The sequence below is a fragment of the Homo sapiens genome, chromosome 3 (genome assembly GCF_000001405.40).
Source record: "Homo sapiens chromosome 3, GRCh38.p14 Primary Assembly".
Lineage (NCBI taxonomy): Eukaryota > Metazoa > Chordata > Mammalia > Primates > Hominidae > Homo > Homo sapiens.
In genome coordinates this window covers 180,961,286-180,983,416 of record NC_000003.12, presented here as the reverse complement: position 1 = coordinate 180,983,416, position 22,131 = coordinate 180,961,286, and the positions used below count along the sequence as shown (strand labels likewise).

General features: G+C 34.5%; 1 protein-coding gene across 10 annotated transcripts in view; it reads right to left on the bottom strand.

The window, feature by feature from the left end:
• Positions 664–22,131, bottom strand: part of FXR1 (FMR1 autosomal homolog 1) — a 70,084-nt gene continuing 48,616 nt past the window's right edge. For 3 of the 10 annotated variants that reach the window (NM_001013438.3, NM_001441515.1, NM_001363882.1), the window contains 6 exons: positions 21,863–21,949; positions 20,477–20,534; positions 20,327–20,389; positions 15,163–15,366; positions 13,059–13,259; positions 664–7,295 (listed from right to left, as the gene is read on the bottom strand). In NM_001013438.3, the coding sequence (NP_001013456.1) occupies positions 7,279–7,295; positions 13,059–13,259; positions 15,163–15,366; positions 20,327–20,389; positions 20,477–20,534; positions 21,863–21,949 (630 nt within the window). In that variant the 3' untranslated portion in view covers positions 664–7,278. Of the gene's footprint in view, positions 7,296–8,012; positions 8,105–12,261; positions 12,343–13,058; positions 13,260–15,162; positions 15,367–20,326; positions 20,535–21,862; positions 21,950–22,131 lie in introns of all 10 variants that reach the window. The other 7 variants (NM_001013439.3, NM_005087.4, NM_001441512.1 and 4 more) reach the window with 6 other exon arrangements.

The window sequence follows — 22,131 nt, the reverse complement described above, 5'->3', positions numbered from 1 at the left end:
AATCTGATGGAGTCTGTTATGATTTAGTGTATGATGAAACACTAGCTTCTAAGGCTTTTATGCAGGATAAATTATTTCCAGGGACAAGGAGACATGAAAGTACAGCTGGTTCTTGTTTGTGGTAATTCTGTTCTTTAAGGTGGCTATGAACACTGAATTAGCAAATAAGGAACAAGTTCCTAAGAGAAATACAGATTCTGTGACCCTTTGGTCACAATATTGTCTGCCAGTCAGTATATAACCTTGATCGACCTGTTTCTGCTTGAAAACATTCTTTAGTATTTCATTAACTTTCAATTAACAGCCAACAGCACTATAACTAACTCATGCTTGGGACATCACGGCCTTCTTTGCATTTGGGAACACTAGGTAGCATGCTTCACTACTACTCTTAGGAACCATCTTAAAACAGCAAAATCACCAACAAAAAGCACAAACATGAAACTTGGCACTAAATAGACCACAAAAAGGATATCTGTTTATGGTGTGAGAGCTTAAACAAGGTAGAGCATTGCCTTGTGCACATAAAGTGGTTTAAATTTTTTGTCACTCTGCAAATACTCACAAATGACCAGAAAAGGATGTTGATTTTGGAGTTACAAATTTTAGTGAGTAGGCAAATTCACAGATAAGGAATTCTACTAATAATGAGGATCAACTGTATTTTGGTTTACTAACCTTTTATTTCAGTCCATTGGACAAATCAAAAAATGTTTCTCTGAACAAGAGCTTTATGAAGAAATAGTTGAGACTTAAAAGAAAATTTTTCAAAGACAGATAGTGATAATATGCCGACAGGCAATGAAGCATTAACTCTAAAAAGGGAAATTTAACTTAATAGGTATAAATACTTTTGAGGGTTCAGTGCAAACAACATACCCGTTTTAAGACAGGTGTTAAGACAATGGAAACCACTTAAAAATACCAAGGAGCACAGCAGAGCACATTTTTTTCTTGCATAGTAATCAGTTTTATTTTCTCCAGGCTTACCTTTTTTAAGTAGAAGAATCCGTGTTTCATTGAAGGCTATTAGGCAAACTGAACATTTAAATGTTATCCATGTGAGGGCTCTAGATCATGTAGGTGATTGATACAAATACGATCCATAAAAAAACTTTTATCTTTTGCTGGTATTTTCTTACAAAATACTTGGATCTGTAACATTTGAGTACTTACAGTGTACTAGCACTGTGCTAAGTATTCTTCCCTTATCTCAGTAGACTAGTTATTATGATGTACATTTTACATGTGAGGAAATGGAAGTTTAGTAAGGTTAAGCAGCCAAGGCAACATGCTGAGAATGGCTGATCTTTCTCAGATCCTGAGTTCCGTTCTCTTAACTTTTTGTACTATGGCCTTCACAATTCTGATAACCTAAGCATGTTTTCCTTGATAGTACTGAGATGTGAGTCTAGTACTTATCTCTACAGATCTAGCTTGGGGCCTTTGTCTTTACTCATTGGTGCTTCCAGATATATTTTAAAGAAGGCGGCATGATTAAACACACTTTGGGAATGAGAGGTAGGTTACAAGTTAAACTTCTGCAGAAGCCAGGTAAACAGAAGCCAGGTAAATCTGAGCCTCGAGGCTTCAGCTTTCTCTGTAAAAGGGAAATATACATGACCAACTTGAAATTGTGAAGATTCTTCCACATTTTATGGCTTGGGAAACAAAAGTCCAGAGCAAATGGTCTTTTTTCTAAGGTCCCACGGCTAGTGAAACTAAAATTAGGTCCTTGGTGTCTTCTCCAATTTGCTGTTCATATTAGTCCTCATTAGAAGTTTGTGGGGAATTCCTATCTATAGCCTTCACATTAGACCTCAATATCAGAGATTTTTGTGAGTCACTTAGCCTCTTCCCTTGCCTTTACTGGCCATCTGGGTTGACATTAGAAATGAGTCCTAAGGTGCTGTATAAAAACTGCTTTGTTGGTAAGAAGTGAGCTATAATGGGTTGTCCTGGAAGTTAACTCTTTCTCCACCTTTAGTTTTAAGCAAGTTCTCCTGCCATCAAGTATTTTCCAAATGATGAGAGTACTTACGGAAACATTTAAATGGAAAACCAATGAGAACTGAGAAAAATTAGGGAACTAGCTTCTTAATATATTGCCACACTGAAAGCTGTATAAATTCAGTATACTGAATATGTATGCCCCCCCGTAAAGAAAACCTAGTATCAGAAATGTCTAAAAATAAAATTTCACGCAGGCATAATGCTTCATTTAAAGGGTTAGAGGGGTTTTAGGTTAGAATGCAGAGTTCTGTTTCAATCATGAGAAATTCTATAAGGCATCTTTCTGTTGACAGTGACCTAAAAAAAAGGTTTTGCAGTTCAGAAGCTTGTAGTAGGTTCACATTGAGTGCACAAGAACCTCCAAACATGTTAAATCTGATGAAAATTTAGAACATGAATCAACAATGTCAAAGAACAGACTAAGCTTAAAAAAACAAAACCCTGTAAATTTTATGTAAACAAAGTAAAAAAAAAATTACAATGTAGAATGCTCTCCTAGGTTTTTGGTTATGTAAAGTATCCTGGAATGAGTAACCTTGAGTACCAGTTAACTTGAATGACCTAAGCTCTGGTTTTAGTTTTTGGACTGCTGTACAGTGTGCTGTTTATCAGCTTAGAGCCAACTACTGCCTTAGCAACAAGATATATATAGGAAGAGCTTCTATCCTGTGTCACCTATTATTCCTGACCCAATAATAGAACAGTCCAATGATATGGGATAATCTGTTATGGTTAACATTTGCTAACACCTTACAGCAGTTTCAGTTAATGAAATTTCAAATATATGTTTACATTTTTCTTTACAACCTGAAGACAGCCAAGTTAGCTGAAAAAGGAAGCCTAGAGGTTGAAATGTAAGCAACCAAGCAACAATTAAGTATAAATTGTTTATCTAGAAAAACTATTGGAAAATATTTTTAATGAAAATGGTCTCTAAAACTAGAAAATTAATATGTACATTTTACAGTTAATCCAATTAAGAGGGTACAAAGGGGTAAAAAAACTTTCCCAAAAAAAAAGAACATCCCAATCACTGAAATACAAAGAAATTCAAGAAGCTAATTAGTAGCATACTTAATAGTGGGGCTGTAAGACTTGTGAAAAATTACTTTGTCCTTGTTTGGAATATCTTATAGATTGCATTCAGCATAGTTGAAAATGTCTGGGATGGATACATATGTAAAACAAACACCACTTAAATTCAGCATACTCCTTATGAGAATACTTGGGCATTTGGTTAGGTGTTGCTCAGGGTCTGACATGTGACTAGACTCAAATTACTACTGGAAGGGCCTTAAAGATACCAACTAGGCCAGCCCTCTCTGGTTGGATAAAATTGAAACCATAGAGAAAAAGTTAATAGAGCTAAAATAGCAGCTTCTAATTCTGTACCATTACCTAAAGCATCTTTTTGAATTATCAAAGGAAGAAATAAGCAAATGGACTGTGGGAAATCATCTTACAAAACTAGAATATAGTTTTTCCAGGGGAATTTTTGTGTACCTTACCTCAGTACTGGAAATAATATTACAGAAGATACAGATGAATCTGAAATGATACACTGATAAACTTTTTAAAAATTTGTAATTAGACTGAACCATAAGAAACTGTTAATAGTTGATCATTTTTGAGCCTTACAAAAGTGGTAATTTCCTACTGTTCAGTGTAATGGACTTAAATCAGTTTTAACACCACTTGCTAACAGTCTGACTTTAGCAGATTGCAGTTACTGCTTTATTGCAAAAGCTCCTGAAATAAAACCCAAATACTATCAGAGATTAACATGGGTTATGAGCAACTACAGTCCATTCAAGTACACGTTCTAATAAAGAACTAAAATTAAAAAAAAAAATAAGGGGCTAGCAAATTCACTATAGCAGACAGATATTCTTAACGAAAAAGCGTAAGGGATCCAAATCGTGTAGCAAAGACAGGAAGACTGAGACAGTAACAAACATCCTTTTCTTTGAGATTTTTTGCCAAAACAGTAGATTCACAGTTCAAATCCAAGTTCCTTGAAACTTTACAGAAGAAAATCCAGGTGTAATTTTCCTTTACTGTAATTCTTAACCACCAATCATCTGTCCCTGGACATAGCCTGTTTTCCATGTTTATCTGTCCTTAGGCAACAGCCCATGAGAACACTAGTTGGTTTGAGCCTCAAAAGCGTAAATCTGTTTGCAGAGGATACAAATGGTGCTGTTTCCCAGTCCAAGATTTAGTTAACATACCAACTTCTATAAGACCCTCCTTAGGTTACAAAACGCTAGACACAGCTAACAGCAGCTACAAAAATACGTGACTTAGCACAACAGCAATGGAACCCAGCATCATCTCAGGTAAGTTTCTGTGAACTCACCAGTTTGATGTGCTGCTTCTAATTCCACATTAAAATACAAGATTATTTCAAAATAAAGATTTGTGTATTCCTATTACACTTTTGCCAATTATTTCTGAAGTGTTACCAGAGACACCATTTTGCACAAGTTGTAGCCCCCTTTAAGGCTTAACAAAGGTGATGCCTAAAGCAAGAATCCTAGGCCTCCCAAAGCTTCAGGAAAAGCAGGTCATTTTTGCCACCATATAATCTCAGCTGTTACTTCATGATTCCGTTCAGGTGTCATATATGAATTCACATATATATGCTGAAACATTGTTGCAACTGCACAAGATCTTCCAGAATACCTTTTTTTCCTTCTCTTTAAAGAGGGTCTCAGTGGCCCAGAACTGAGTTCAAATGATGCTCCCACCTCAGGCTCCTGAGTAGCTAGAACCAAAGACATAAGCTACTGTGCCAGGCTCCAGAATACATCTTTTGCTTAAGTGTCTGTTTAGTGTATAGTGGCAAGTTCTTCCCATAGCAACATCTCACCTAACTAGGATAGCAGCCAAAAAGACGGAACCCTCTCAAATACATTTAAAAGGCTACCTGAATTAATGGCTACCCTTTGGGGAGTGGGGCTCTCTAAAAAAACAAATGCGTATTTATCACAATTCTGCACTACCTATATTTTTTAAAGGACAAGACATTGGGTTTAGTCATTTGTAAAGTAATGAACTTAGTGTGGTTATTGCTAGAATGAAGAATTGGTTCAGCTATACTCACTCTTTTAAGATTTTGTTTCTTCCATTCCCATTGAAACCATCTTTATGGAAAAGGGATGTTTAATATATCTGACTATTCTATGTGGGAGAAAATGAAAAGTCTTTTTTTTTTTTTTTACACCATATTTACCAATTTGGCATTAATTAAAATTCTTCTAATACCTTATAATTTTTAACCCAATTATGTAAGAGAACTGAGACAATTTAACCTGTTGCTAGCTTTGATCGATTTAAAAAAACACATTTGTGGGTAATTTTTTTAAATATCAGGACATGAAATTACTTGATATCTTTATATATAAAGGACAGGAGTTGCACTACTCACACCTTACTTTAAAATTCTGTTACCAAGAACCAATCAGAAGGCCTCAGGAAAAAGCACGTAATACCAGCACATTTTAACCTTAATCAGAATAATTTGAGGGCTAGGGTTATATATACTGAACTGGCACATTGTACATTTTTAACTATACCCTGAATTATCCTTCAGAGCATATAAATTAAAATCACATTTTTATGCACATAAAAAATTAACACAAACTATGCACACAACACTTTTCATATGCCAAGTGATAACAAAGGGCTGTCATTCTTGTTCAGTGGTCCATATAATATTGTGGAACAAAGCCTTCCCCTATGTCTAACAATTACTTGACCTCACAATTAGCTGTACTAACTGTTGTCCATTGTTAAACTTCATGTCTTTATCTTCATAAAAATTAAGCTCTGGCTAAAATATATACATAAAGTTTAATAACTGATTTTTGGTCACTGATATGAGAGCCTTCAAAATAAGTTGAGAATGAATAAAGCAAATCATTGGCCTATTATTTAAAAATTGCTTGTCATCCCTTCTATCCCCCATTGTCTTCCAAAGTTGCCTTTGATTAGAATTTTGTTAGGTTTTTTTGCTAATTATCACATGTATTATTAATTACCTATGCATCTAACAGCCTAAACTTGTGTAAAGATTTCAGATGATTCATTACAAAATGATTAAATGGCCAACTGACATTTTAATGCTATTTATGAGCAAGTATAAATGCTTTTTAAAAAGCAAAGTATACTATCCTAAGCCTATTAATAGCTCCAACTATTTTGCAACAATTGGTGTAAAAAGTAGAAAGTTAAAAAAATTCAGCAAATGGAAGATCAAAGTTTATTTACTACCTGCATACAAAAACATATTGCACATCAAACAACCGAAATAAAAAAAAAAAAAAGGAAAAAAAAAAGATACTCTACTGAAGACTAACATGTAGTTTATACAGAATAAACCTTCTGGAAATTGATCTTTTCAGTAGTTCAGGTTATGTCTGAATGGACATGACTAATTCAGCTTAGTGTTTTAACTAAAGCTATGTTTGATTTTTAAATACTGTACACTTTAATAAATAAACCAAACAAAGCCTCAAGGTAGAACAGTCACTGCCAAGTATCGCCCAGTGTCCCTGCAGATGAGAGTTTAACAAATGTATTCCAGTGGTCTGCAGATTTTCCTCTACATACAGCATTTAAAAAACACATTAAAACAGACCAGTTTCCAGACTAAACTAATGAAGAAATTACAATTCAGTGCAAAATATTTTAGACTGCATTTCATTCTAGTTTTCCTCAGGTGAAGAAGTGGTTGCATATTAAAAATGTAACAAAAGCAGCTAATGCTTTCATAAAGAATATTACGTTAGGGATCCCACCCCACCCACCACCCCCCATCTCTGCCATATTTTGAAAACAAAATAACATTTCCTATAGCCAGCAACTTTTTTTTAATGTTACATATACTATTCTCAAGGCACATCTGATGATATATTTTATAACACAGTAGGTGTCAAAGTATGTTTAACATATGATTTCTTCAGGATCCCTCCCCTTTTTGAATTCCAAATGGAGGAACTGAAAGTGCGATGTAAAGACTGGCGATCCATATTCTATCTTTGGCAAGCTTGTACAAGCACTATTGTAAATGTAATGTAAAAGAACTGTAAACTAGGAACTTCTTCAGTTTATGAAACACCATTCAGGACTGCTGCTTCTTGAGTGTTTTCTTCTTTTAAGGTATTAATCTTTTCTTCTCCTGGAGTACGCTGTAGCTTAGAAATGTCATCGCCAGAAGCACTAGTTGGGCCGTTTATTGCCTTTTCTGAAGGACCATGCTCTTCAATCACATCTTTTGCCTGCCAAAGGGAGACAACTTTTTCAACTTCTTTATAAATGAAATCTATAGCTGAGGAGGAAAACAGCTACATAAACACTAATTAGCTAATTAAAAATTTCAGTTTTATATACCACAATGGATCAAAGTATTAAAACATCTTTAAAATTCAAAACAAATAACAAAGTATTCCACTCTATGGGTCTTTCAACTTTGTATCTCTAGTACCTAGCAGTGCCCAAACCACAGAAAACATCTAAACTAATGAAAACTGTACCTAATTTTAAAACACTGGAAAGCTCACCATGAAAATGACATAAACAGTTAATATTAAACAAATAATCACCTACTTTACTCACCTTATTTTGAGAAATCACATTTACATATCAAATACTGTAAAGCATTTAAAAGAACTAAAATTTAAAAGGTCTATATCCATCAATGAGAAGAGGTATATAGCCTATTGCTCCTGAATTAGGCAATAGTCTCTATGCCCAGTATCTTTGGGCAGAATGAATTTTATAAATGCTATTTGAAGCTCTAACTAAAAAGTATTTCAGGCTCAAGCATGCATATCTTTAGTTACCTGGGGCCAAGAACATATTCAAGAGTCTTTAACTAAAATAGTATTGTCTATTTGTGGAAACAAGTGATCACACAGTAAAAGTAGTAAAAAAATAAAGCTAAACCATACCAAAAATTAAAAAAAAAAAAAACCTACAGGTTAAATTCTCCTTACCATTTCTTTCTTGTTTTTAGCCAAAGTTTCCCTTGGGAGGTTTCTTTGTCTGCTCTGAGACTCAGCTCTAGAAATATAATCTGCAACTGTGACTGTTAAAGATGAGAAAAAAATTACAGGTGTTGAAAAAATATTTCTAAAGTTTATTTATGGATAAAGGGTAATTTCACTATTAAACTAGTGGTGGGTCACCCAGTGTCAAAATTTTCTTAAGCTGGGTATCACCTCCAACCAAAAACAAAGCTTTAAAAATCTACCTGGGCTTTTGGTGCTGAAGAAAATTTCAAGCTTGAGATTGAGGAAATCTAGATTAAATTCCTCTTTCCCAAGAATCCAGCTATTTGCTTCTGGTTGACCCTAATGTTGTGGAACAAAGTTGTTAGAGAAACCCACAACCAGTAAAAGGAAATACAAACGCAGTGTTCTAAGCCCAGTGTTTGCAATTATCGGGGAGTCGGGGGGAGGGGGGAATGGGGCAAATTTGGTCCAAATCACAGTATGATATACTTAAATTTGAAAATTTCAGATACAAAAATATTTACTCAAATGTGTGTGTGTGTTTTTTTTTAAAGCACAATTAAGATATCCAAGTGTGGTTTATTCTATGGTTTTGTTTTAACGTTTCACACTAGAAACGATTCTGAGTGATTAAAATAAGAAACTACAAGCAAACTAAAGATGACAGACCACCACCCTAAAAATGTGGACATTGATCAGAGTGGGAAAAGGTCCAGAGTGTATTCAATGACACCCCTCCCACACCCCCTTTGCCAATCTTGGTAGGGACGATCTGAAATGTGTATTTGCAAAGAAGTGGCAGTAGTGGATTAGGAAAAAGACTAAACCCAACCTAACACCCTACTGTCACGTCAACCCAACTTCAACAAATGACCTATGTTCTACAGTATGTGGACTGACTCACTTTATACATCAACACTCTCTCTTCAAGAACTGAAACTTAGGGCCGGGCATGGTGGCTCACACCTGTAAACCCAGCACTTTGGGAGGCCAAGGTGGGCAGATCACCTGAGGTCAGGAGTTCGAGACCAGCCTGACCAACATGGTGAAACCCCGTCAGAATTAGCCAGGCGTGGTGACACAGCCTGTAATTCCAGCTACCTGGGAGGCTGAGGCAAGAGCATTGCTTGAACCCGGGAGGTGGAGGGTGCAATGAGCCAAGACTGTGCCACTGCACTCCAGCCTGGGCAATAATAGTGAAACTCTGTTTCAAAAAAAAAAAAAAAGAATTGAAACTTAGAATTCACTGATTTTAAGAAATACCAAAAGAACCACCCTTTTTTCTTTCAAGTATTTTCTATTGCAAACTGTTTCAGAAAATCCCTGATATGTAAAAGTACAATATATACTTTAAATTATGGGAGCAAGTTAATTATGTAAAGAATGAAATCTCCAGTAAATTTTAAATTATTTATTTAAAGTCACTAGGTATGGGGAGAATTGGTCCATAAAGTATAAATTCTATGAAAACAACTAAATCATTCTGGTATAATAAAAAGCTGGATGGTATTTACAATTCACGTTTCTTAATTATGAAATAACATGCTAACACTTTCATAAGATCCAAGAACTTTCTAGAACTATTATGTAAATCTTTTAAAACCACAAAGGAACAACCTATTTCAGAACTTACATACATCATTTACTAGAAAACCACTAAAGATGTTTCAAATCTGAAACTGCCTCCTTCCTTCCAAACTGTAAGAAACAGTACGCTCATCTTGAAGCTTTTTAAATTATTTAAATTCATTGCTAATATATTTATAACTACATTAAAAAGAGTTTACAATATTGGAAAAAGGGCTATTGTCATAATCCACTTTATTATGTCTACATACATGGTAGCAAACCTATTACAAGAACAATTCTAGCCAGTGTGGGGAACAGCATAGTGAATGCACTGTTTCCAAGTTCGGCCCTCAGTGACACCTAGGAAAACATCTAATTGGAAAGCCTGCTGCTAAATTAAGTTGGTGCAAAAGTAATTGTGGTTTTTGCCATTTTGAGGTGGGTGCAAAAACTGCACCAACCTAACACATTGTTGAAACAATTCTAGAACCTTTCATCCACTGTGTACAGAGACAGAATAATATTTTGATATAGTTATCAACTAAATTAACAAGCACTTAGCTGGGGTATCCGCTACCTAAATAAAAGGAAGCCAAAAGAAACCTCTGTTAATTCAAATAAAAACCTGTTTATAGCCAGTCCTTATAATACAAGCCCCTTAAAAGTCCAATACAGATTAATAATTAACAATATCTAGAAAAAAATACAGGCAATTTCTGTAATGACATGGACTCTAGAATTTCCTCGAATGGATCCAAGTTAATCAACTGGACACCAGTGTGTATTGTCACATTCTAAGTGTGGTAAAGAATATTCACTGCTTAATTTACACTAAGAGCAACAAGAAATTTTGAGCAGATGAGATCAAATTAAATGAGTGTTTTAAACAGAATATTGATATTAGCTTTAGAGGGAGGCTGCCTCCTAGAACTGCTACTAGGATCAAGGGTTAACAGTTTTGTGCTTGTTTTACCCACCCTATCTTTTGGGAGAAGGGGCAAGCTAGGGAATGTGAGGAGTTTTAAAAGAGGGAAGTAGTAATCCCAAAGAAGTAAAACAGGAATAGATGTAGTATGGAACAGAAATCATTGTCAAACTGTTGAAGCCTCCAAACTACTCAAGTTGCAATTAATACCATACAGAAATTTTTGCCTCTTCTCCAACAAACCCCACTGTTACTCCTTTTATACCTGTTGACTTGGTAATAAACCACCATACATCTAGTTAATAAATGTTGTAATATATTCTGTTAAGTTCATACTGATAGCCTGAATTTTCTTGTTTACAGTAGGGCCAGAAATGTATTCACTGCTGTACCACCTTCAAAAAATGAAATAATCTCTTCATCTAAAACATTTTTTTTTGAGACAGGGTCTCACTGTCACCCAGGCTAGCGTGCAGTGGCACGATCACCCTTCACTGCGGCCTCGACCTCCCAGGCTAAAGTGATTCTCCTGCCTCAGTCTCAAGAGTAGCTGGGACTACAGGTGCGCACTACCACACCCAGCTAATTTCTGTATTTTCTCTAGACAGGATCCCACTGCCCAAGCTGGTCTCAAACTCCTGGGCTCAAGCAATCCTGCTACCTGGCCTCCCAAAGTGCTGGGATTACAGGTATGAGCCACTGCACCCAGCCCTAAAATATATTTCCAACATTAAAGGAGGGGAGGAAAGAAGGGGAAGGAAAACAAATATTTTCTGGACACTTTCTATTTTTTGACAATATTTAATTGCTCTAAAAATTTCCAACTATCTTTAAAACATGAACTTTTAGGGATGGGAACTAATTCTCTTAACCAGTTTTCCCAAATGTCTCTACAACCACTAAATTTAAAATAGTAAAGATGCCAGAATTTACATTCTTTATTTGGGGAAAACACATGAAAGAACTGGTTTTGGAAAGAATGCAAAAATTGATTAGTTTGAAAGGGGTTTATTTCTGGTGCACACAATTGCTTCATTGTGAATATACATGTGATTCTCTGTACACAGGAAATGGAATTATGTTCAAAATAATAGACACAGCAAACAAGTTTCTTTGAAGTTACTAAAAATTAATGACTACATAAAATAAACATTCTAAAACTAAGTAAGTATTATTAATTTGAATAGTTAGTAGGTGTAAGGGAAAAGGCATCACACTACAATAAACAAACAAAAACAACATGCATTCCTCGCATTAGGTTAAAGACACCTTCAAATATTTTTCTCTTTTATACTTTTTTTTTAATTGTGGGTATTACAACTCCCACAAAAATGAGGTGCTGAATTCAGATATAGTAAGCAGGCACCATGCAAAAGCTGCCCAGTTTTGCCAATCAACCTTGATCACAATCTACAACACAGTCCCTCGGATGGCAGGCCCCATCTCAAGTGTGAAGAAACTGCCAAGTGAACAAAATGGTCTTCTCAACAGTATTTCCATGTAAACAATTAGGACACAACATTAGTTCAATTAGACAAGTTACTAACACACTGTGAAGGAAGAATGCATTTTCTTAATAGTAGTAGTCTTATTAGTTGAATAAACAATTTATGCAATGCAAATTTTGAATGTATATGCACACATGTGTACATGTAAGTATAATATATTTAGAAAGCAGACATAGACATTTTTTTCATGCTTGTGACCTGATGGTGTCCACAGGTCCACTCAAGTTACCTGGCTGTCTATCTTCTGCCTGACCCCTGAAGCGACGCCTGCGGCTACGATTGCGTCGCTGGGGTTTTTTTTCACTATCATCTGTAATTGCAAAGTTTACCATGAACTATTCTGACAAAAACAAACAAAAAAACAAAAAAACCTTCTTTCCTTCAAAGATTTAAAGGGGAAAAATAAACTTTTAATTAAACACAAAAATAAAACAACAAATGTTTACTGACAGGAAATACATTTTTGTAGCTTTCAGCATTCCAAATGGATTAAAAATGGAATTATCATCTGGAAATTCAGAGGGTTTTAACTCACAGTAAAACTCAGACTTAAACTGCCATCATTCAGGGACACAGTCTTCCTCTCTAGTACAGTTTGGTTTATACCGAAGTTAATGACATTTTAGCCCTTGAAAATTAATGCCTACTCTTGATATATGTACCTTTACCAGTGTCATTTATAATTATTTTAAAAGAGGCAAGATGAAAGCCTGATTTTAGCTTGGGGACAATAAAAGCACTAAGTACCTTGCCAGCTGAATATTTGTACTGATTTAATGGCATCAAAGGGCACTTTAACCCTCCAAGTTTCAAATAATTTGGCTATAACAAATCTGAGAACTAAACATTTAAGATAGACAAAAAGCTATCTACCTTGTTCAAAGTAAACACTAAGAAAAAGTCAATTTGTGAATTGCATATTTCTTTGAAAAAAGCTTCATATACTAACAATAGTTTACAATTATATATATATATATATATATATATATATATATATATATTTCTCTTCCCTAAGTGCTTACATACCTAGCCCATTTTCATTAACTGAAGCTGTATCAGATTCAGTCATTCCATCCATCAGAACAGCATCTTCATCAGTCCTTCGTCTACGAGACCGCCTACGACGGTTAGTACTGTGATGAGATTCGCTGGCATCAGTGTCTGCAGTCTGATCTGATTCTGTATTATCAAGTAAGCTGTATGGATTGCTGTCTGGATCTTTGAGCACTATATTCATGTCAGAGGCAAGAAATATTCGTTTAAGAGTACTGCAATTATGAATGTTTGATCTATATTGAACTATATCAATGACAAATAAACTTCAGTCTCCCCCAATAAAAATGCACTGTCTTCAAATAAAATGTTTTCAATATTATTTACCTGGAAAATAACAAAGATAATTAAATATGATAAAACTTTAAGTGGTGATGAAAAATTAAAGCAGAAAGTAAGCAGACATCTTGGCTTCCTAACATTTCCTGTGCCTTGTTTTTAAAATATACATTAGAAAATAGTGTATTAAATGCTAATTCTTGCATTCACATTTCAAGGTAATCCTGCCCAGAGACTAGAAAAACAAAAATGAAAAGAAACAAATATTCAGCTGTTAAGAAATAATTATAAGAGCGAGCTTTCATCCCCTTAACTGAGTTCAAAATGACTGCAGCTTTGTTGTGTTGATGTTGATGGACTGTTTCCCAAATAATATTCAATACCTGCATTCCATGACATAATAGAAATCCGTAACTGAACTGAAGCAATCAAGACAAGTTGAAACAAAGCAGCCAATTAAATAAGGTTGAACTTCTAACTGGTTATGAAAGGAAAATGTTGAAACGAATGCTGACTAGTACTCCATCTTTAGAAACATTATGGAAGGTGATGTGAAGGTGGAAAAGGAAAAACTGTAAGGTACAATTCATAAGAAAAATACCCATCTTACCTATGTGCATTTATTACCTCCAACAATCAAATTTATAGAAGAAATTCACCTAATTCCGATTTTTCCTAAGATTCCTTTGGTAACAGCTAGCAAGCTAAGCATCTTTGCAAAAGACACTAAGCGTATCCATTAATCATAAAACACTAGGTCAAGTACATTTATTTTGCAATTCAGTATACTGTAATTTTAAACACCTTGGTAACTGTACAAAGTGTACTAAAATATAAAAACTATTACCCTGAAAGCCTGTAAACTAAACTTAAGGCTCAAAGAGTATTACTGTGGAAAGGGAGAAAATCTAAACAAACAAAGAACAAGTTCCTAATTTTTGCCCTGATTTGTTCCAGTTTTTGTAATTTGTAAGCACAGTTGGCATCTATATTTAATGTATCTACACACACTTTCTATAATATTAAAATACTACATAAGTTTTCATGGGTATAACATTAAGGAAGGTGCGGGTTTCTTAACGTGGTATACCATAATGATATGTTAAAGTTATATCCTTAATATAGTCTATGTATCTATCCCTGGCAATTAACTCCCTAGCCCGTTATGGTAACCAAGGATATTCTGGAAACTCCTACAACTTAATGTAAAGCATAAAAAAATTTTAGAAGACAGAAGTAATTAAGTAAAACGTTTCCTACACCCTCAAATCTTTAGTCATCCAAACACTCCTCTTTACAGCACAGTTCCTCCAACAATTAAAAAACTTAGTTAATTCCACAATTTTTCCCTGTTCCCAAAGTACTACATAGTGTAGCTAAGAATGCTCTTCACTTCGTTTTCAATATTAAGTATAGAAAAGTACTGACATCTCTCTGTGCATTAGAAATCTCTGGGTCTGTCTGGCAAACAAAAAAACATAACCCCAAAATTCTAGGGAAAACAAAAAAAATTCTAATTAAATAAGCCTCCAAAACCTGAAGAGAGAAACATCTGACCCTCATCATATAAAGAAAAGCTGCCAACTAAAGTTCTGACCAGTATATTCTAAGTAAACCTTCACTGAGAAACACTCTACGAGGGCTTTTCCTGATACTGCTATATGGTCCACTACTTTCTCTAAGACAATGAGTAGCAAGAGAAACTTCCAAAAATGGGTGGCCCTGGGAGATGAATTAACTTTTGTAAAATTAAACTGTTTACAAATAATGGATGCTGACAGAGTATAGAAAAGACTACCAGAACTGATGGAGGATTTGCCACCACGTGGTCCACCACGACCTCGACCCCCTGAAACACTTCTGCCTCTTCCTCCTGGGCGTCTCCTGCTGTCACGCTGATGTCGGCTGTCTCGATCATCTTCTCCTGCCAATGACCAATCACTCAGCTCGTCTTTACGCTCAGATTCCGTTTCAGAGGGGTTAGACAGCTCAGAATTTGTACCTTGGAAAAGAAAAGAACATAAACCACTTAGATTTCTATAAAAAGCCTTTTAAAATGTTCAAAATTATGTCCTACAAATTATTGTTTAAATAAGCAATACTGTTTGGCTGCTTCAAAGAAAGATCCATGAAAGTTAAAATCAATCTGAAACGTACTAAGGAATAATCAATTATTATACTATTAATATACTAGTATAGTATCTACTAGTTAATACAGATTAAAAAATAAACTGATGTGCAGAAGGCCGCTCACTTCTTCAAAACCAGCAGAAGAATCCCTCACTGCAGTCTGCTAAGATGTGCTATGTCATGTAATATAGTCAAAGGTGTGACCATCTCATCAGCAAAAGGGGATAATATCCAGGAAATACAAAGTCATGGAAGTTAAAAAAAAAACTGATGTGCAGAAATGCAGTCAACAGAAAAATTACAGAAAATATACAGAACATTAATTCCTAGGTTTTGGCACCAAAAAAAAAAAACCATACAGAACATCATTTATCAATATTAGAATGTACTTAGTATGGATAGTCAAATGTTTCTGCTGATTTGGGTTTTAGTAACCTAAATTATTAGTACAATAAAAATAACTTCAATATTTGAGTAAATTAATCATATTTAGAAAACTGAATAGTTTAACTGTATAGTGTATTTCACCATAATTTCATTGATTCTAGGGTATACTTTTCACATGTTAACATCTCTGAAATCAAGATATTTCTTATAATTGATGGCATCTTTATTATAAGCTAGAAGTAATTTTTCCAGTAGGTTGTATATAAAATGATGGCATGTTTTACTAGCATCTTAAATTGCGGTTTTTGCCATTAAAAGTAACTACTTTTACTTTTTGCTTTTCTTACTTTTAATGGCAAAAACTGCAATTACTTTTGCACCAACCTAATATTTGCAATTACTAAACAGAATTTAAGGTTTCTCTGAAACAGAAGGTCTCTCACCTGACAACAGAACTGAAGCCATGACCAGTGAGACAAATATTCAGCATTGCCTTTAAAAGTTTACAGACCATTTCTAACACTGCAACTATTGTAATGGTGACCTTTCAAAAATTTATTTAAACACCACAAAGATATAATCAGAGGCCTACATTATCATTATTTAATAATTACTGTAACTCAAATGTCAGATACATATGACTCAATCACTATCATATTCATTTCCACTTGTTAGTTCTGGGATGCCACTTCTTCTTTCCCTCTTATATGACCAAATATATCTCCTTCAGGGCCTAGTTCAAATTCTAACTTCAGACCACTGCAACTAAGACAGATCTCTCCCCATTTTTTGTTATCCTAAAATCGCCCCACATCTATCACAGACTGTGCCATGTTGTTATTTTTTCCCCCTGTGGAATTACTTCAAAATTGGTCTATGATAAAGGGTGGAACTCCATCTTATATGTCCTCAAATGCCTGGCAGAGTGTATAACAATTTTCTCAACCAAATAATTTGCTGCATTATTTTGAAGTTCATTTGCTAAACTCTCAGATAAGAGTGATTTCATGAAATACCTTGAAGTTCCCTATATTTAAACTCTGCAATCATTTGAGGAAAAATGCAAACAAGAGCTCTTCAGACATAAGAAGTTTTAAGTATTAAGGTGCAGGGAATAAAATGTAAAGTTTTATACATGAAGGTGCCTCACTTCCTTTCTCCTTTAACGATAACTCTAGGATGCCTACCTTTTCTCTACATGGTGTTAATAGATGTAACTAGTCAATTATAAAAACAATTAGGTAATTAGTTGGATGTGTATTTTTCAAAGAATACATCAAATTTCTATTACTCACTTTCAATTCTTTGTTGGGATTAGAATCTCAGGGAAGGGAATTAATTTCCCCTAACATTTATTTCACCAAATGACAAAAAGTACTTTATTAACAGGATGTCATAAAAGTTGTAATGAAGGCAATTTATCTTTCCTTGAATAGTGAAAAAAAAAGCCTTTCAGAATGTTTAAGAACTTCTGAATTTATTTACAAACCTATACCCTACCTGAAAACATTACCAAAATTCAGGGCAAATGAAGAATACTTCATTCTGAAGACTCTCTCAAAAGTTCATATTGAAGTATCCTTAGAAATCCAGTGTAGTATTTATCTAACCCCGTGTCACAGCAAGTAAAGTCTTCCTTAAATTTAACCTACATATAGTATTCAAGAGACTTAGAGGGAATGTCTAAATCATAGATTTCAGCAGGTAAAACAGATATTGAGGCCGTACCCCCCAAAATTTTAATGTATTGGCTAGTGCTCAACATTACTCATATTAAATAACTGTTAATAACACATATTAAATGTTTCTGTGATAGCAAAAAGGACTCTGCAAATGTGACTAAGGTTAAGGACCTTGAGATAGAGAGATTATCCTGGATTATCCAGGTGGGTCCAAACTAATCTCACTGGGTCTTTAAAAGTAGAGAAATTTTCTAAACTACTGAAAGGGGAATCCCCGCTAGACTTTCCAGAAAGAAACGTAGCCCAGCTGACAAGATTTTAGCCTAGTGAGACCCATGTCAGCCTTCTGACCAACAGAACTATAAGATAATAAATTTCTGTGGTCAAGCCTCTAAGTTTGTGATAATTTATTACTGCAATAGAAAACAAATACTCTAATAAAATCAGGGAAACCATTTATTCCAGCCTCTCAATTTTGTAAAACACAGGTTGGTGATTCAAAGTCGTTTTTTTAAACAAGCTTTAAAAGTAATGACACTAGGCCAGGCTGGTGGCTCACGCCTGTAATCCCAGCACTTTGGGAGGCGAGGTAGACAGATCACCTGAGGTCTGGAGTTTGAGACGAGCCTGACCAACATGGAGAAACCCTGTCTCTACTAAAAATACAAAATTAGTCAGGCATGGTGGTGCATGCCTGTAATCCCAGCTACTCAGGAAGCTGAGGCAGGAGAATCACTTGAACCCAGGAGGGAGAGGTTGCGGTGAGCCGAGATTGTGCCACTGCACTCCAGCCTGGGCAACAAGAGCGAAACTCCGTCTCAAAAAAAAAAAAGTAACAAAACATAATGACATCGTGTTTTTAACCAATTTTAAAATCATATTTTCCCCTCAAACTTCTAAAATCACCTTATGAAGATGGTTTATATCATTTTTCAATGGTTGGTTGTGCTAAGCTTAACAGCTAAAAATAATCACGTTTTATCGACTCCAAGAGGCCATCAATTTTAAGACATTATTTTATGTGCCATTAAAAAAGAAAATGCTGCTAAAGTTGTAAGATGTCCAATTTAACACACATACCAACTTCAGAGATGTTATACTGGGAAATGTTTCTTATAGTTCCTATTAAACTGATAAAACTACAGTACTCATTATATATATATATATATATATATATATAAATCAACTACAAGTCCCTCTGATATAATGTATACATGAACGTCTACAACCAAATTCAAATGGTTTTTCTTGCTTTTCCAAGCCCACTCAGGTTCAGTAACTATTTCAAGAAATAAAATGTTATCAATTCCACTAAGATTCAGAGCTAAGAGTGCCATCTACTGAACAATTTGCACAGCTTTCTTGAATCCAGATGTTTCTCTACCTCTCACATAATTATCTACTCTCAACAAAAGCATTTTGCCAGAGTAAGCTCTCATCAATAAGCCGACTTCCCACAAAAGCTAATAAAATTATTCAATGAATTCATCATACGCATCATCCAATAAGCCAAGTCTGATTATCTATGCTAATAATGTATGGTTCAAAAATCAATGAGAATATATTTGATTTCTATGTGATTACTGGTTAACTGTCTTTTGCATTAAACATTTTCAGAAATATAATAATAGTCTGCAATTTTCATCCCTTTATATGCTGAACACTTCTTTATTAGAATTTTGCTGTTTAGGTTTCAATACTGCATTAAATAAAAACATATATAAGAAAATGAGAACATAAAGATATGATATTAAAGGGCAGGGACACAAACTTACAACTCTACAACAAATTGAAGATAGTTCAGGTTTAATATAACTTTGTCAGCATTAGATGATCCTTCAATTAAAGCATGAAATTTGCATTTATTTCTATTTTCCTTAAATGCCTTACATTTTGGAAAAGGTTTTATATTTCCTCAAAAGGGAGTAAGTATAGGAGTGAAGAAAAGAAAAGGAAAAGAGAAAATAAAGAGAAGGGGCGAAGGAAAAAAACAAATCAGGTCACTGCTAAGATCCAAGTCCAAATGTAGAAAAATGGAACAACTCCAAAGCTGAAGAAGAATAAGGGAGAATTTAGGATTAGAGAATTGTTGACTATCACCACTCCACTGTCCCCCTTCCTATCTGGGTTAGACCCAATCCTCACAGTGAAATACATTTTAGAAAATGTTCATTTATAAAGTGTTAAATTAGATTCTGGCTTTCAGAGTCTTCATTTTAGTGAAATGTTGTTAAATAAAATAATTCCAGATGTGAGATGTTAATATATTCAAATACGCCAAATGAGTAAGTAAAATATTTTTTAAAAGCTAGTAAAAAGACTTGCTATATGCAATCTTGGCAGTGATTCGCACACTTTTCATTTTTTACTTAAAGAGGGTAGACAAAAGATGATTCCTAGAAGTATCACCACCACCATTACTAGGTATTTACTGGGAAATGTATAAAACTGTACTAGTAAAGTATTTGAAAAACAAGTTACATATGTATTCTTTGTAAATATAATAAACATGACAATGAACTACCAACTTAAAAACATGCTTTGCTTCATTACATAACTGCTTGGAAATTTTATATATTTTACTGTCATTTTAATGTATACTATCACTACTATTAAGACGTGTACTAAACCTTCAGAACTACCTTCTACCCTCAAAGCCAAGACAGAGTAATGAACTAATTATAAGAAAATGTGTTAGAGCACCTAAACTATAACTACTATTATTACTATTACCAAAAAAAAAAAAAAAAAATTTTTTTTTACCATAACCGGAGGTGTAATTAGGTCCCCGACGACCTCTGCCTCTTCCGCTATAAGACCTAGAACCTTGTACAGAAGAGACGGTACTTTCATCAGTGGCATATCCTTTCTCTTTTTCAGGCCCTCTGGTGGAAGAAGGTCTGAAACCCATACCAATCTGTCGCAGCTGTTCATCAATCTGTAGGCGTTCCATTCTTAGCTGTTCTACTTCCTACAATCAAAACAAAAAAGAGTAAGTCTTCTTATATATAACTTTTTGTTTTCCTAAAGCCTAAAGCTAAAGCTGTACTCCCTATCAAAGCTGTGACCTTAGGCAATTAGATGGTAAAGAGCATTGTGTTCCTAGTCAACAGAATTGATGAGGTCATTTGCTGTTTCTGTTCAACATTTACTGAATGGTCTAGAGTGTGCCAAACATGCTACTATAGGCATACAATATAAAAGAAGACATGGACTCTCCCCAATCAAGGGGATGTTTAACAGACAGCTTTAAAATAAGTTATTTATTAAATAGCTAACAATTATACAATATTACCAGATTTTGCCCTCAAGGAGTTAGAATTGCTGAATGAGATACAGGTAGCATCTATGAAAGGTACTATTAACAAGCTACTTTCCTATCAAAGCAGTGACACGAGTTGTGACCTAGAAGGAGTGCTAGACTTTGTCATTCAGAAATTGAGGTCATTACAGGATGCAAAGGTTAGATGTCTAGAGAAAGCTCTTGGTTAAAAGATGAGTACTGAAAGATAAAGCACTGGCTTCAAAATGCCAGCTTTAATTGCGACTTTTCATATAAAGATGAATTTCAAAAGAAAAGAAATGACATTATCAGAGTGATCTCAAAATAGTAACAGCAACAATGATACGACAGACTGGGAGGAAAACATACTAGAGGCAGAGAACAGGTGAGGATATTATTATACTTTAAAAAGAAACACAGCAGGAATAAAAGGGAAAGAGTAGAAAATAAAATTAAAATGTTTAATAATTTATGGGTCATATTTTTCTAAAAACCCTTGCTCTTTATGTATCAACTCAAATAGACTATTTTGTTAACAATGGTTACAAATTATCGAGTAATGTCAGTGGAGATGATGCAGATGATTTGCATAATGCCAAAGTTACCAAGGAAGCCCAATGTCACTCCTGGTTCTGTACCCTATTTGTATGTAAAGTACAAAAGTAAAAACAAAATGGCTCCAGTATGAACATGCAGATACATAAGTGATCTGAGAGTCAAATTGCATGAAGACAAAGGAATCATTTCTTAAGAAAGAAAGAAATATAAAAGCTCAGAAAGAAGAGAAATTATGCACACAAGGCCAATCATTTTATGATGACAAAGGACTTTTTAAATTCTCATGTAGAACAATGGCAAATCTGAAGCTGAATTAACAAAAAATATTTAAAGATTTGAAGTTTACTTCAAATATAAAATGTTTAATGTGAGGACATTTTAAATTTGTAGCAAATGTACAACATTTATGTAGTAAATGCAGCAACAATATCAGAATATAGTATGAACCGTATACAAACCTTTAGATAGGCAATATGATACTCTAGAAGAACCTGCACATTTCCAATGCTTTCTTTAGTGCCAACAAATACAAATGGAACCATACCCTGTTTAAAAAAAAAAAAAAGTATTCAGTGTTTAATATTTTAACAAAGTTCTAGCCTAAAAGTGACATGAAACTGACAGGCAGGCACACACACACACACCTTTTTTTTTTTTTTTTTTTTTTTTTTTTGAGATGACGTCTTGCTCTGTTGCCCAGGCTACAGTGCAGTGTTACAATCACAGC